At 41.0% G+C, this 16,593-nt stretch overlaps 1 protein-coding gene across 4 annotated transcripts in view, besides 1 other annotated feature; it reads left to right on the forward strand.

Moving 5' to 3' along the window:
* Nucleotides 1-16,593, forward strand: part of MATN2 (matrilin 2) — a 167,661-nt gene that overhangs the window by 107,207 nt on the left and 43,861 nt on the right. For all 4 annotated transcript variants that reach the window (NM_002380.5, NM_030583.4, XM_005250920.3 and 1 more), the window contains exon 6: nucleotides 2,616-2,738. In NM_002380.5, the coding sequence (NP_002371.3) occupies nucleotides 2,616-2,738 (123 nt within the window). The remainder of the gene's footprint in view (nucleotides 1-2,615; nucleotides 2,739-16,593) is intronic.
* Nucleotides 3,872-3,921: an enhancer, noted in NCBI's record as "active region_27670". NCBI's record gives its function as "activates an Ori minimal core promoter by ATAC-STARR-seq in GM12878 lymphoblastoid cells {active_cell/tissue: GM12878}" and the evidence as "EXISTENCE:reporter gene assay evidence [ECO:0000049][PMID:35858748]".

Raw genomic sequence — 16,593 nt, forward strand, 5'->3', positions numbered from 1 at the left:
GCTATTTTTTGTATTTTTAGTAGAGACAGGGTTTCGCCATATTGGCAAGGCTGGTCTCAAACTCCTGACCTCCGGTGATCCACCCTCCTCAGCCTCCCAAAGTGCTGGGATTACAGGCGTGAGCCACCATGCCTGGCCTAGACTGAAACTTAATGAAACTTTGAAGCAAAAGAATAAACGTAACACAGGTTATTACCCTTTACAAATCTTCAGTGTCCCTTTGCATCTTTTTATTGCTATGCTAAATATGTCATTATCTTCTCCATGCATGGTTTTGCTTTTTAAAATTTTACATATGTATTACTTTTGTAGATTCTATTTCCTTGTTATTATTTACACACTTTTGATATTAATATAATCCTAAAACATTGTAGGGAGTACTTTTTTTTGAAAAGGGACTGGTCTTAAGCTCCTGAGCTCAAATGATTGCCCTGCCTCAGTCTCCCAAGTAGCTGGGATTTCCAAAAACTTTTTTTTTTTTGAGACAGGGTCTTGCTCTGTCAACCCCAGAGTTGACCCTAGGTGCACTCTCTTTTTCTCATTTCACCTCTAATCCAACAGGAATCCTGTTAGCCCCACCTTCAGTATTTACCAGGTGTATTAGTTTGCTAGAGCTATGCTGTGGTTTGGATATGGTTTGTTTGGCTTCACCAAGTCTCGTGTTGAAATTTGACCTCTGTGGCCAGGCACGGTGGCTCATGCCTGTAATCCCAGCACTTTGGGAGGAGGCTGAGGCCAGTGGATCTCTTGAGCTCAGAAGGTTGAGGCCAGCCTGGCCCACATGGTGAAACCCCGTTCCTACTAAAAATATAAAAATTAGCCAGATGTGGTGGCGCACACCTGTAGTCCCAGCTACTTGGATGGCTGAGGCAGGAGGATCACTTGAACCCAGGAGGTTGAGGCTGCAGTGAGCAGAGGTGGTGCCACTGCACTCCAGCCTGGGAGACAAAGTGAGACCCTGTCTCAAAAAAAAAAAAAAAAAAAAAAAAAAAAAAGACAAGAAATTTGATTCCCAATGTTGGAGGTGGGACCTGCTGGAAAGTGTTTGGGTCGTAGGGACAGATCTCTTCTTATAAGAACACCAGTCATATTGAATTAGAGCACGCCACCCTAATAAGCACATTTTAACTTGGTTACTTCTGCAAAGACCCTATTTCCAAATAAGGCCACATTCGTAGGTACCAGGGTTTAGGACTCCAACATGTCTTTTTAGGGGACATAATTCAACCCATAACTTCCAGAACACCACTCCCCCTCATCCCCTGCAACATCCTGGTTTAAGCCTCCACCCTTCCTCCCTGGGATTACTGGAGTCACTTTCTTACTGGTTTTCTACTCTCAGATTTGCCCTGTCAGTCTATTCTTGACTCATGGGTCCAGAACCCTGCAGTGACTCCCAACTCATTCAGACTAAAAGCTGAGGTCCTTGCATGGCCCATGGGTCCCTCCTGACTGCCCCCTTCTCATCTCCCACCTCTCTCCCTCCTCCAGCCACCCTGGCCTCTTTGCTGATCCTCCAGCCCACCAGGCAGAGTCCCACCTCCTGGCCTTCGCACTTGCTGTTTGTTTTGCCCAAGATACCCTCTCCCAGATATCCTCACGGCTCGTATTTTAGTCAACACTCTTCCTAACCACCCACCTTCTCAGAGAGGCCTCTCCTGACCACCTCTATTACATCCCACCTGCTACCCACTCCCCCACTGACCCTACTCCTATTCATTGTTTTGCTTTTCTCCAGAATTTTCTTTATCTCCTAATAGACTATGCTATTTACTTATTTTACTTCTTATCTGCTCCCCACTCCCAGCATCATTATCCAAATATACGCTCCTTGGGGGCTGGAATTTTGGATTATTTTCTTACTTGTTCTATCCCTAGCACCTAAAACAGGACCTGGCCCGTAGTAGGTACTCAGGAACTAATGAATACATTTTTGTTCATTACACATATTTGTGTAATGAACACATATTTGTGGAACTAATGAAACAAATGAAATATTTGTGGAACACAGGAACACATTTGTGGAACTAATGAAAAATCAGCCAGTGTATTTTCTCATACATTGTTAAATCATTTACCCTTATTCAATGTTCATCTTATTTTCTAGGATTTTTTGTTGTTGTTGTAAACAATGCTATTAATAGTTTATTGTATATAATTTCACCCTTTTCCTGGCTATTTCTTTGGGTTTCACGTCCAGGGTGAACATTGTCAAATTGCCTTCCAAAAGGATCTTTCTCAATTTATAATGCCCCTACCATTAATAACGCTGCTGCCTTTCTACCACTGGGTTTTATCTCATCTTATTTTTGCCAGTTTACTAGGTGTAAGTGCACCTTGTGATGATTTTGATTTGCAATTCTTTAACTTTTAAATACAATTGTTCACATGTTCTTTAGTTTACTTCCTATATCTTCCTATATGAATTGCCTGATATAGACTCCTGATTTTTTTTGAGGGGGGCAGAGACCTTGGGTTCATAACTGTTTATCCTACTCTTTTGGGGGGCAATAATATTAATCCTAATTAATATCTGTTATCATTTTGCCCTCATCCTACCATTCCCTTTTCCTCTGTTTGCATTTCTAATTCTGAATGTGTTTTATTCTCTCCAGCTGTGGACTACTGTGCCTCAGAAAACCACGGATGTGAACATGAGTGTGTAAATGCTGATGGCTCCTACCTTTGCCAGTGCCATGAAGGATTTGCTCTTAACCCAGATAAAAAAACGTGCACAAGTAAGTTACACACACATGCACACACAGAGAAATATTTGCTGTTACTGCTGTGGTGACTGTGACCATGGAACTCTCTCAAGTATAGATTAGCAATATAATTATGTCATGGGGGTCTAATACCTTTTGCCCCATTCCTCCTCTGTCAGGACTTTCATGACTTGGCTTAAGACCATAGACCACTGTATCTCAACATCACTATTCAAGGAATATGATGAAGGCACCATGTGTAGGACTGTTCCTTCAGCATCTGCTGAGCATGCTGACAATCCGAGCAACTTACTTCCTGCTAACTCAGCCTGACTGTGCCCATCAGCACTAACAGGGCTTGAGATGTTTTCATTGAAGCTTTGTGGCTTGTGGGCTTTAGCTCTGACTCCACGCAAGAAAATCGCTGAGCCAAAAAGAATCATAAGTGATTTCTTCTGGTGGACCGCAGTTTGCAAAGAACTGCTCATGTTTTGTTTGAGCTATTTAGTTCAATTGGATTTTAACTGTATACATAAAAATCAGAATTAATTTCAGCTCCCAAAATTTGAACATAAAATTCGATAAACTAAAGATGATCATTAGTTTTGCAAAAAAGATAATAACTAGTTACAAAAAGATTCCAAAAGTGTTCTATTAAATATAAAGGTACATCAGGAGACTTAAGGGATTGTGTATGGATTATTATCCTTCTATAGGGAGGATCACTTGAGAAAAGCTTGCTTGTTAAGTATTAGGGCCAAGCATTTATAAAAAGTGGACTTTAATAACAATCTAGAATAGGGTAAGGCACCTCAGAGACATGCATCAGTGAGAAAACAGGATTTTAATTCATAAAAAGTTCATGTACCTACAACCTTTCTAAAATGTATTCACTATGTAAAACAGGATACATCTGCACAAAACCTTTTTCAACATAAACTTACTTCCTACTCTTCAATACCTAAATATCAGCAGCTTACAAACACCAGAGCTGGAGGTTTGGGTGATGTATGGAACTATAAGGGACACATTAGGTCAAAAGCATACATTTCTGGAGCCCCAACCATGTGCCAATAGAAATGAGTACGGCAAGGTCCTTAAGGGAGAAGATAACTGTGGCTGAGTCTTGGAGGTGGAGCTGTCATTCACTAGGCAGAAAAGGGTGAGGTGGGGGTTCCAGGAGAAGGAAAGAAGTTGAAGATGTGAACCAAGCAGAGAACTGTAGTCTCCATGCCCCGTGCATGACTGGCATATACAGTGGTTTATTTGTTTTGTTTATTGAAAGAGTAAGTAAATGAATGAGTGGGCTGCTGTGTTTGTGGTCTCCCTTCCCTTCTGAATATTCTGAACTGTAAAATAGCAGCCTGTGCTGTCGTCGTGGTTGGGGAGTTGTGGTTGTTGGGCTGATGAGTCAGTGTTCCTCATCAAAGAGGAGGCCGTGGGCTGCCAGCAGCGGGCCTTGGTTCTAATCCCAGCTTCTCTGCTTTTTCTCTTGGTGATCTTGGGCAAGTTACTTATGCCTCAGTTTCCTCAGTTACAGTACAGGATGATAATGCTGCCTACTGCATAGCATTATTCTTTCCTTTTTTTTTTTTTTTTTTTTTTTTGACACTGGGTCTTACTCTGTCACCCAGGCTGGAGAGCAGTGATGTGATCTCGGCTCACTGCAACCTCCACCTCCTGGGTTCAAGCGATTCCCCCACCTCAGCCTCCCAAGTGGCTGAGACTACAGGCTCGCACCAACACACCCAGCTAATTTTTTTGGTATTTTTTGATAGCAGTGGTGTTTCACCATATTAGCCAGGCTGGTGTCGAATCCCTGACCTCAAGTGATCCACCCACCTCAGCCTCCCAAAGTGCTGGGAATACAGGCATGAGCCACAGCACCCGGCCATAGCATAATCTTGAATACTAAATGAGGCTGGGCACAGTGGCTCACGCCTGTAATCCCAGCACTTTGGGAAGAGAAGCAGGAGGATTACTTGAGCCCAGGAGTTTGAGACCAGCCCTGGTAATATGGAGGGACCCTATTTCTACAAAAACTGTTTTTTTTTTAATTAGCCAGGTATGGTGACAAGTGTCTGTACTCCCAGCTACTTGGGAGGCTCAGGTGGGAAGATCACTAGTTGGGCCTGGGAGGTTGGGGCTGTAGTGAGCCATGATGGCACCACTGCACTCCAGCCTGGAGGACACAGTAAGACCTTGTCTTAAAAAAAAAAAAAGGCTAAAAAGGGATGATGTGGGTTTCAAAGACTTTATTTATTATCATTATGTTTTTTTAGAAATAGGATCTTACTCTGTCACCCATGCTGGAATGCAGTGGTGCAATCCTAGCTCATTGCAGCTTCCAACTCCTGGGCTCAAGCAATCCTCCCACCTCAGCCTCCCAAAGTGCTGGAATTATGGTCATCATGAGCCACCACACCTGGCCTCCAAAACTCTAAAAAAATGAGTATTTAACTGTGCATATACCACGTGCCTGGGCTACATTTAAAGGTGCAAAAAACATTCAAGATTTCCACTGCAAGCTGGTGAGGGACCTTAGCCATAGCCACACTGAGTAGCTGAGTCATGGTGCCAGGAGTTATGTGACCAAGGGCCTACAGTGTGATGCAGCCAGGACCACAGCAGGAGTTAGAGGAAGGAGACCAGTTAGACCAGAACAGGTGAGATGCTGCCTTGCAGGGATGAGGACTGGAGAAAAACACATATCCTAGCCAGTCTCCTACCTGCCTCTCCAGACTGCACACACTGGCTGGGGTCACCTGATTTCCACCCCAGCACCAGCCCTAGTTCCCAGAGTGGCACCATCTTCCCCACCCTGTGGCTCAGCATGCCTCCTGTCCCAGATCCCCAGCCCAGGGTGGTGCAGGCAAGGAGGGTGTTGGAGCCCTGGAATCAGACCCTGGAAGTAGATACCGCAGCATAGTGGGACTGGGAGAGGAGGTTTGGCTAGGAGCCACGGGAGGGGCTGATCCAGCTGTGAGGTCTCACCAGCTAGGCAGCGAGCCCAGCAGTGCAGTTGTCAGAATCAAGATCCAGAAGTGGGCCGCCCCAATGCGTGTGCAGGGAAGAGTGCTGGGAGACTGGAGGGTTCGTGCAGGCAGCCTCAGGGCAGTACATCCCTTAGAAGAGCCCTCTTCCCACCATGCTTGGGGTGGGCAGGAGCCAGACCCAGGAGGAGGGAGACAAGAGGAAGAAAGGAGACAGAGTACTTGGAAAGCTAAGAGTAGAAAATAAGGCAAAAGCCCAGTCGTAAGAATGAAACACTCAGGAGTGCTCCAGATCTGTGGCAGGGACAAGAACTGAGAAATAGAGACTAGTTAAAATTACAGAAACAGGATAGAGGCAGAAGCTCAGAACCGAAGCAGCCACCCTGTTTTAGTGAGTACCAAGGCCTCCCACCAGCTTCCAGCCAAGTCGGCCTGGTTACTGCTGTGATGTTGAAAGATTTTTTTTTAAAATTCTACTTCTTATACACTTGCAAAAAATGAAAGAAACTCAGTTTCTCAAATTTCAGCCTATATTTTTAACCAAAAGTATATTTGAAAGCGAATACAATTAGTAAGTGTGCAACTATTATCTCAAAAAGGTAGACTAGTCAATGTAATAAACCAAGCATGGTTAATTTATGATTAAGCAAAAATGTACATAATAGGGCTTTATGTTCATGAACCAGTACTATAATTTGAAATATGTAAGTGGTGTTCAAAAAAGCACCACCTTTATATCAATTTCTTACCCTAGAGCAGCCCATCCAAATCTAGACGGGAGAAAGGTGGAAACACACAGGTACCATCAGTTTGCAAAAAGTTAGCAAGACTTTTCTTTTTCTGGTATTGTTATAAAACATACATAATAGAAAATTTACCACTGTACTCATTCAGTGGCATTAAATACACTCACATTGTGAAAAACGCATATCCTAGCCTGTCTCCTTCCTGCCTCTCCAGACCACACCCCCTGGCTGGGGTCACCTGATTTCCACCCAGCTGTAACTATCCTCACCATCCATCTCCAGAACTTTTCATCACCCCAAACTGAAACGCTGTACCCATTGAACAATAACTCCCCATTGCCTGCCCTGTCAACCACCATTCTACTTTCTGTCTGTGAATTTCACCACTCTCGGCACTTCATGTAAGTGGGATTATATGGTATTTGTCCTTTGCCGTCTAACATATTTCACTTAGCATAATGTCCTCAAGGTTTATCTGTGTTGTAGTATATATCAGAATTTCCTTCCTTTTTAAGACTGCATAATATTCAATTATATGTATATATCCCATTTTGTTTATCCATCTGTTGATGGACGTTTGGGCTCCTTCCACCTTTTGCCTATTGTGAATAAAGCTACTATAAAGATGAGTGTTCAAGTCCTTGCTTTCAGTTCTTCTGGGTTTTTATACCCAGAAGTGGAATTGCTGGTCCTATGGTAGCAAGACTTTTTGAGATCTAGATTGAAACCCTTATTCTTGAGCCAAGCATGAGAAAGAACACTCTCAGATATCCAGGGTCTTTTCACCAGAAAGATCTATAGAGGACTTCAGTCTGCTGGACAGGGATTCATGTCTTTGGTAGCAAGGAGACTGTGGGCTTTGAGTCTAATGCTTAATCATCTAATGCCTGTAAGGATGAATAAAGGCAATTGCGGACACCATCTTTTGCATGTTGCCATTTATTATTTTCGTGCTTGGAGGTCATTATACTCATTGTTTTTCAGTCTCCAGTAATAACTTGGTTGACATTTCCATCCTTATTTTTCAAATAAGAATGCTTTGCACAGAGTAAGGCACTGAATGAATATTTTTGTGTTTGCACTAGAAACAAAACACAGAAGGAAGTAAACTTTTTAAAGTAGAGATGGGGTCTGCTATGTTGCTCAGGTTGGACTAGACCTCCTGACCTCAAGTGATTCTCCCAGCTTGGCCTCCCAAAGTGCTGAGATTACAGGATGAGCCACCATTCCGGAAATAATTTTATACTGAATCAGCAATAGAAGAACTACAAAGTATCGGTTGTCAGGTTTCTTGGCCAGAGCATAGTTAACATACTGAGTGCCACTACCTTCCTACAGCCTGTAATATGCCACTTTTGTGACTCCCTATGTGGATAAATCAAACACTTTCAGCTGGAAGAGGCTTTAAAGTTCAACCTAGTTCTTGCCCAACTATCCATCCTACAATATTCTCACTGTGCCATCATCCAACCTGCATTTGAATACCCCCACTGACAGGATATTCACTATACCCCATGGTAGTTCATTCCACTTTGTATAGCTCTGACTCTTAGAAAGTGATTCCCTAGACTGAGCTGATATCTATTTCCTTGCTCTTAGAAATGAACAAAACAAATTTGGCTACTTGCGTTCTTTGTGGCCACTAAGAGTGAGTCATATCAGAGTAACTTTATTTCACTTAGTAGACTAGCCAGGCATGGAAAATGTAGTAGTGACCATCTAAATTTTAATAGGCATTTGACCAATTTGTGTGTGGAGGAATTTGTGCTCAATGAATGATTGGTTGGTTTGTAACTGGCCGAATGTCTGTAACCACAGGATGCTAATTGTTGAACTGAGATCCTCCTAGAAGGAGGTTTTTAAACAGCTTGCTGGGAAGAAGCCTTATGGAGGGATGAGAGCTATCTTCCATTCATAGGGTCCCCCGTGTTTCTTCATGGTGTGCAATGTGTATGTATCTAAACTCTCAAAAACACACTCCAGTAAGAGTAATACCAATAACCTTTTATTCATTCCACAAATATTTGTTGAGTATCTACTATGTGTCAGATATGATTGTAGACACTGGGCATGCAGTAATAAATTAAACAGACCAAAAAGAAACCCCACCAATATCTGTCCTTATGGAGCCTACATTCTATTGGAGCAGGATAAGAGAATACTACAGGTCTCAACAGCAAAGTAATACTAGTCTTTGATTAAAGATTTGAAGGCAGTGAGAGAAGGAGGAAACCTTTGAGGCAGAGGTAGAAATGAAATTCTATGAAATAAAATGATCTGTGATACTATCACACAGCACCAGTACAAAATGGATATGTTTTAGTCCATTTGTGTTGCTATAAAGGAACACCTGAGACTGGGTAATTTATAAAGAAAATAAGGTTTATTTGGCTCATGATTCTGCTGGCGGGAAGACTGGGCATCTAGTGAAAGCCTAAGGCTGCTTCCACTCACAGCGGGAGGTGATGTGGAGCCGACCTGTGCAGAGATCACATGGTGAGAGAGGAAGCAAGAGAGAAAGGATGAGGCGGTGCTCTTTTTAACAACCAGCTCTCATGAGAACTAACAGAGCAAACGTACTCATTACTGTGAGGACAGCACCAAGCTATTCATTAGGGATTCCCCACCATGACCCAAAAACCTCCCATTAAGCCCCGCCTCCAACACTGTGGATTAAATTTTAACATGAAGTTTATGGGATCAAACATCCAAACTGTAGCAGATATGCACACCTGAAGCTATATATATTTATTGTTTTTAGCAATGTTCCCTGATTATGTTCTTCTCCAAATCACAGGACACTTCCCACATTGTTCTTTTTTGTATATTATTTGGGCCGTTTTCCATGGCAACTAGTTTCACAAAGTACAAATGTACAAATGTGTACATTTATTTTTAGTACTTTTTCTGATTACAAAAGTAATACAGGTTCATTGAGGGAAACTGGTTCCTATAGAAGTGAAATTCTATGAAATAAAATGATCTGTGATACTACCGCCCAGAAAAAACCACTGTTTTTGTGTTTGTTTTGCTTTTTGAGATGGGTTTCTCACCATGTTGCCCAGGCTGGTCTTGATCTCCTGAGCTCAAGCAGTCCTTCTGCCTTGGTCTCCCAAGTTTTGAGATTATAGGCGCACACTACTGCACCTAGCTGATAACCATTGTTTATGCCAATTTGGAACATTTCTCTCCAGTCTTTTTTTAATGTATGTGTATGGATTTATTTTTATAGAGTTGAGATCATGCAGTATAATAATAAATCATAAGCATTTTGACATGTCACTTAAACGTTATCAAAAACATTTTAATGTCTGTGTAAAATTCTATTATATGTATATGTCAGAATGTGTTCAGGTTTTTTTGGCTGCTCAAATAATATTGTGATAAACATTCTTATGCTTGAATCTTTTTTTCTGATCATTTTCTTAGGAACACAACAAAAAAGGAAATTTATTGAGTCAAAGGCAATTAACATTTTAAGTCTTTTGATACATATTCAAAATTATTTTCTAAAAACGTTTTACCGATTTATACTCTACCATCAGTGTTTAAGGGGGCAATTTTTATTTTTAAATTAAATTAAATTATTTATGATTTCAATAGGTTTTTGGGGAGCAGGTGGTGTTTGGTTATATGGACAAGTTCTTTAGTGGTGATTCTGAGATTTTTGGTGCAACCATCACCTGAGCAGGATACATAGTACCCAATGTGTAGTCTTTTATCCCTCACCATCCTCCCACCCCAAGTCCATTGTATCATTCTTATGCCTTTGCATCCTCATAGCTTAGCTCCCATTTAAAAGTGAGAAGTGGGATATTTGGTTTTCCATTCCTGAGTTACTTCACTTAGAATAATGGTCTCCATCTCCATCTAGGTTGCTGCAAATGCCATTCTTTTGTTCCTTTTTATGGCTGAGTAGTATTCCATGGTGTATATAGACACTGTATTTTCTTTATCCACTTGTTGATTGATAGGCATTGGGACTGGTTCCATATTTTTGCAATTGCAAATTGTATTGCTATAAACATGCGTGTGCAAGTATCTTTTTCATATAATGACTTAATTTCCTCTGGGTAGATACTCAGTAGTGGGATTGCTGGATCAAATAGTAGATCTACTTTTAGTTATTTTTTTTTGAGACGGAGTCTCGCTCTGTGGCCCAGGCTGGAGTGCAGTGGCGCGATCTCGGCTCACTGCAAGCTCCACCTCCAGGGTTCACGCCATTCTCCTGCCTCAGCCTCCCGAGTGGCTGGGACTACAGGTGCCCGCCACCACGCCCAGCTAATTTTTTTTTTTTTTTGTATTTTTAGTAGAGACAGGGTTTCATCGTGTTAGCCAGGGTGGTCTCGAACTCCTGAACTTGTGATCCGCCTGCCTTGGCCTCTCAAAGTGCTGGGATTACAGGCGTGAGCCACCACACCTGGCCTACTTTTAGTTCTTTAAGGAATCTCTACATTGCTTTCCATAGTTGTTGTACTAGTTTACATTCCCACCAGCAGTGTAAACGGAATTTGTCCATTTCATCTTAACACATGGACACGTGATAGGGAGCAACACACACCGGGGCCTGTAGCAAGGAGTGGGGAGAGGGAAAGCATCCAGAAGAACAGCTAATGGATGCTGGGCTTAATACCTGGGTGATGCGCTGATCTGTGCAGCAAACCAACATGGCACACATTTACCTAACAAACCTGCACATCCTGCACATACACCCTAGAACTTAAAATAAAAGTTGAAGGAAAAAAAAGTGTTTCTTAAGGGAGCAATTTTTAAAAATGTTGCTGATTTTCTAGGAGAAAATTTCTTCTTCTTGCTTTTTTATCATGTCTTTAATACCTGTTCTTCATAAAATTATCCAATTATATATATCTAATTTATAAATGTATGTTTATTGGTGTTATTATTTGATTAATGAATATTTTCCAGTATAAGTGATTGTAAGGGACTCTTACAAATTTCATGAAGCAAGGGACTGTGCCTCTTTGTTCAACACTGATCCTAGTGCCTGTCCCATGGTAAATGCTCAGAGAATATTTACTGAATGAATGAATGAACAGGGAAGTTAACATGTCTTCATATATTAGACATTCAAGAGAGAGGGAATAATAAAGATCTGAGCTAAAATAAAAGGAATAGAAGACATAAATCAATAGAGATAATTGGTAAAAACCAAAATGTGTTTTTTTTAGAAGATTAATAAAATTGATAAATGTCTAACCAGACTAGTCAAGGAAGAAAAAAGAGAGAAGACACAAATTACTAATATCAGGAATGAGAAAGTGGACATCAATACATATCCTACAAACTTTGAAGCATAATACAGGCCAAGCATGGTGGATCATGCCTGTAATCTGAACACTGTGGGAGGCCAAAGCAGGAGGATCACTTGAGGCAAGGAGTTAAAGACCAGCCTGGGCAACATAGAGCCCATCTCCACCAAAAAAAAAAAAAAAAAAAATATATATATATATATATACACACACACACATATGTATACACACATACATATATATATATATATACAGAAAAATCATAAACAAGTTTATGCCAATAACTATGACAACTTAGATGAAATGGACAAATTCCTTGAAAGACACAAACTACTAAAGTTTACCCAAGAATAAATAGAGGCTGGGCATGGTGGCTCATACCTGTAATCCCAGAACTTTGGGAGGCTTAGGTGGGAGGATTGCTTGAGTCCAGGAGTTCTAGATCAGCCTGAGTAACATAGCAAGACCCCATCTCTACAAAAAATAAATAAATTAACTGGGCATGGTGGCAAGTGCCTGTAGTCCCAGCTACTCGAAAGGCTGAGGCAGGAGGGTTGCTTGAGCCCAGGAGGTTGAGGCTTCAGTAAGCCACGATCACACCACTGCACTCCAGCCTGGGCAACAGAGTGAGACTCTCTCCCCAGACCGACCAAAAACAAAAGAATATAGTCTGAATAGATCTCTATCTATTAAAAGAAATGGAATTTGCACTTTAAAACCTTCCCACAGAGAAGACTTCAAACCTAGTTGGCTTAACTGGTGAATTCTACCAAAAATTTGAAGAAAAACTCATACTAATTCTACACAAATTATTCCAAAAAATTGAAGAAGAAAGAACAATTTTCAACTCATCCTATGAGGCTATCAGTACCCTGATACCCAAACCAGAAAAGAAAGACATAAAAAAAGAAAACTATACACAAATATTTCTCATGAAATACCTGCAAAAGTTATTTAAACAGTTTCTAGCAATCAAATTTAACAATATATTAAAAAGTACAATACATCACAACCAAGTGGGATTTATTCCAGGAATTCAAAGTTGGCTTAACATTCAAAACTCAATCAATGTAATTCATAATATTAACATATTAAAAAGTCAAAACCATATGAGCCATCTCAATAGATGCAGAAAAGGCATTGGATAAGATCTGACATTCATTTTTTCTTTAAATAAACTTTCAGCAAATTAGGAATGAAGGTGGCCAGGCGTGGTGGCTCACGCCTGTAATCCCAGTACTTTGGGAGGCCGAGGCGGGCGGATCATGAGGTCAGGAGATTGAGACCATCCTGGCTAACACGGTGAAACCCCGTCTCTCCTAAAAATAGAAGAAATTAGCTGGGCATGGTGGCAGGCACCTGTAGTCCCAGCTACTCGGGAGGCTGAGGCAGGAGAATGGCGTGAACCTGGGAGGCAGAGCTTGCAGTGAGCCGAGATCGTGCCACTGCACTCCAGCCTGGGCAACAGAGCAAGACTCCATCTCAAAAAAAAAAAAAAACGGAATGAAGGTAACTGCCTCAATCTGATAAAGTGCATCAGTGAAAAAACTATCAGCTAACATCATACTTAATAGTGAAAGACAATGCTTTCTTTATCAGATCAGGAATAAAACAGAATGTCCACTCACACCACTGCTATTTAATATTGTACTGGAAGTTCTAGCCAGTGCAATAAGACAGAGAAAGATCAATAAATGGTACCTAGATTGTTAAAAAAAAACACCATCTTTATTAACAGATAACCTGATCACCTGTGTAGAAAATCCAATGGAATCTATTAAAAAGCTACTAGAACTATTAATAGCAAGTGAATTTATCAAGGTTGCAGGACACAAGATCAATATACAAAAATAAGTTAGTTTTATGTACTTACAATGGACCATCAAAATATGAAATTTAAAAAAATACCTTTTCAGGCTGGGCACGGTGGCTCATGCTTGTAATCCCAGCACAATGGGAGACCAAAGCAGGTGGATCACTTGAGGTCAGGAGTTTGAGACAAGCCTGGCCAACATGGTGAAAGCTTGTCTCTACTAAAAATATGAACATTAGCCAGGCATGGTGGCAGGTGCCTGTAATCCTAGCTACTTGGGAAGCTGAGGCAGGGGAATTGCTTGAACCCAGGAGGCAGAGGTTTCAGTGAGCTGAGATTGCACCACTGCATTCCAGCCTGGGTGACAGAGCAAGACTCTGTCAAAAAAAAAAAAAAAAAAAAAAAGACAAGCCACTCAATAAAAATGGGAAAAATATTTGAATAGAAACTTCACCAAAGAATATATAGAGATGGCGAAGAAGCATATGAAAATATATTCAACAACATTAGTCATTAGGTAAATACAAAGTGAAGTCATATTGAGATAATCATACCCACTAGAATGACTAAAATTACCAAGTGATGATGGGGATACGGAGCAACTGGAACTCTCATAAATTGCTGGTGGGAATGTTTAAGCAGTTAAGCATACATGTCCCATATGACTCATTCATTATGCAAAAGGAATGAAAGCATATGTCCACACAAAAACTTGTGCATTAGTGTTCATAGCTGCTTTATTTGTGATAGCCCCAAACTGGGAACAGGTAACCAGCCCTTCAGCAAGTGAATGGATAAACAAATTGTGGTATAATCACATAGTGAAATACTACTCTGCAATAAAAAGGAACAAACTATTGACACACATATGAATCTGGATGAATCTCAAAATAATTATGCTGAATGAAAGAAACCAGACAAAAAAGAATACATACTATATGATTACATTTATTTAAAGTTCCTTGGGGAGATAAAAAAAGAAGATAAAAAATAAAATTCTAGAAAATGCAAACTGATTTATCTGGATAGAAGGTAAATGGTTATTTGGGACTGGAGAGAGTGGGGAAGAATGAATTAGCAAGAGACAGGAGGAAAGTTTTGAGAGTAATGCATATGCTTATTATTTTGATTGTGGCGATGGTTTCATGGCAGGATACATATGCAAAATGCATCAGATTGTTTTTCTTGAGTATGTGCAGTTTGGTTTTTGTCAATTATACCTCAAAAAAACTAAAAACAAGTAGAAGAGACTGTATTATTCCAAAATTTCTATGTCATAAAACACAAAGAGAGGCTGTGGAAATGTTCTGGCCCATCACTATCCTATGGGACACTCTGGTTGATGGAAATTCTCTGTTTGCATCATACAATACAGTAGTCAGGAGCCACACGTGGCCACTGAGCACTTGAGATACAGCCAGTGCAACCCAGTAACTGAATTTTTGTTTCGTTTTGTTTTGTTTGTTAGAGACAGGCTCTTGCTTTGTTGCCCAGGCTGGACTGCAGTGGTACAGTCATAGCTCATAGCTCACTGCAATCACCAACTCCTGGGCTCATGAGATCTCCTGGCCTCAGCCTCCCTAGTAGCTGGGACTACAGGCAGGTGCCACCATGCTCAGCTAACTTAAAAAAATTATTTTTCTGCTGGGCACAGTGGCTCACGCCTGTAATCCTAGCACTTTGAGAGGCCGAGGCGAGTGGATTGCCTGAGTTCAGGAGTTCGAGAACAGCCTGGGCAACACGGTGAAACCCCGTCTCTACTAAATTACAAAAAATTAGCTGGGTGTGGTGGTGTGTGCCTATAGTTCCAGCTACTCGGGAGGCTGAGGCAGGAGAATTGCTTGAACCCGGGAGGCGGAGATTGCAGTGAGCTGAGATCGTGCCACTGCACTCCACCCTGGGCAGCAGAGCGAGACTCTATCTCAAAAAAAAAAAAAAATTCTTTTTTCAGAAATGGGGTCTTGCTATGTTGCTCAGGCTGGTCTCAAATTTCTGGGTTCAAGCAATCCTCCAGCCTCAGCTTCACAAAGCATTGGGATTACAAGCATGAGCCACCACCCCTGGCTGAATTTTAATTGTTATTTCATTTTAATCAATTTTAATTTAAATAGACATATTAGGCAGCATGGTTCTAGATTAAGGGAGACTAAGCAGATATGAAAACGAGATACAATCTCTGACCCTAGACTAGATCCTGTACTGGAAGGTGAAAAATGCTATGAAGAACATAATTAAGTCAACTGACAAAATTAGAATATGGATGGTAGATTAAATATAAGTATTGTATCAATGTAAACTTATGAAATTTATAACCATACTGCAGTTATGTAAGAGAATATCCCTCCTCTTAGGAAACACGGACTGTTTTTAAGGGAAAGGACCAGAATGTATGTAATGTACCCTCACATAGGTCAGAGAGATGACCAAGTAATCACAGGAATGGGGTAAAATGTTAACAAAGGTGAATCTGGGTAAAGAGTATTTAAGTGTTTCTTGTTTTATTTTTATGTTTGTAACTTTTTGTAAGCTTGAAATTGTTTTCAAAGAAAAAGATTTTTTAAATGCCTTTATATATGACTATGGTATTACAATTATATTGTTTATAAAGACTCCCAGTGTTTTAAAGCTACATTATGAAGCATTTATGGACAAAATAATACAATGTCTGGGCCAGGTGTGGTGGCTCACTCCTGTAATCCCAGCACTTTGGAAGGCTGAGGCAGGTGGATCACGAGATCAGGAGTTCAAGACCAGCCTGGCCAAGATGGTGAAACCCCATCTCCACTAAAAATACAAAAATTAGCTGGGCACAGTGGCAGGCGCCTGTAATCCCAACTACTTGGGAGGCTGAGGCAGGAGGATTGCCTGAACCTGGGCGGCAGAGGTTGCAGTGAGCCAAGATTGCGCCACTGCACTCCAGCCTGGGTGTTAGAGTGAGACTCCATCTCAAAAAAAAAAAAAAAAAAAAAAAAATTACTCAGGCATGGTGGCATGCACTGGTAATTCCAGCTACTCAGGAGGCTGAAGCAGGAGAATTGCTTGAACCTGGGAGGTGGAGGTTGCAGT

The sequence above is a fragment of the Homo sapiens genome, chromosome 8, assembly GCF_000001405.40.
Source record: "Homo sapiens chromosome 8, GRCh38.p14 Primary Assembly".
NCBI lineage: Eukaryota > Metazoa > Chordata > Mammalia > Primates > Hominidae > Homo > Homo sapiens.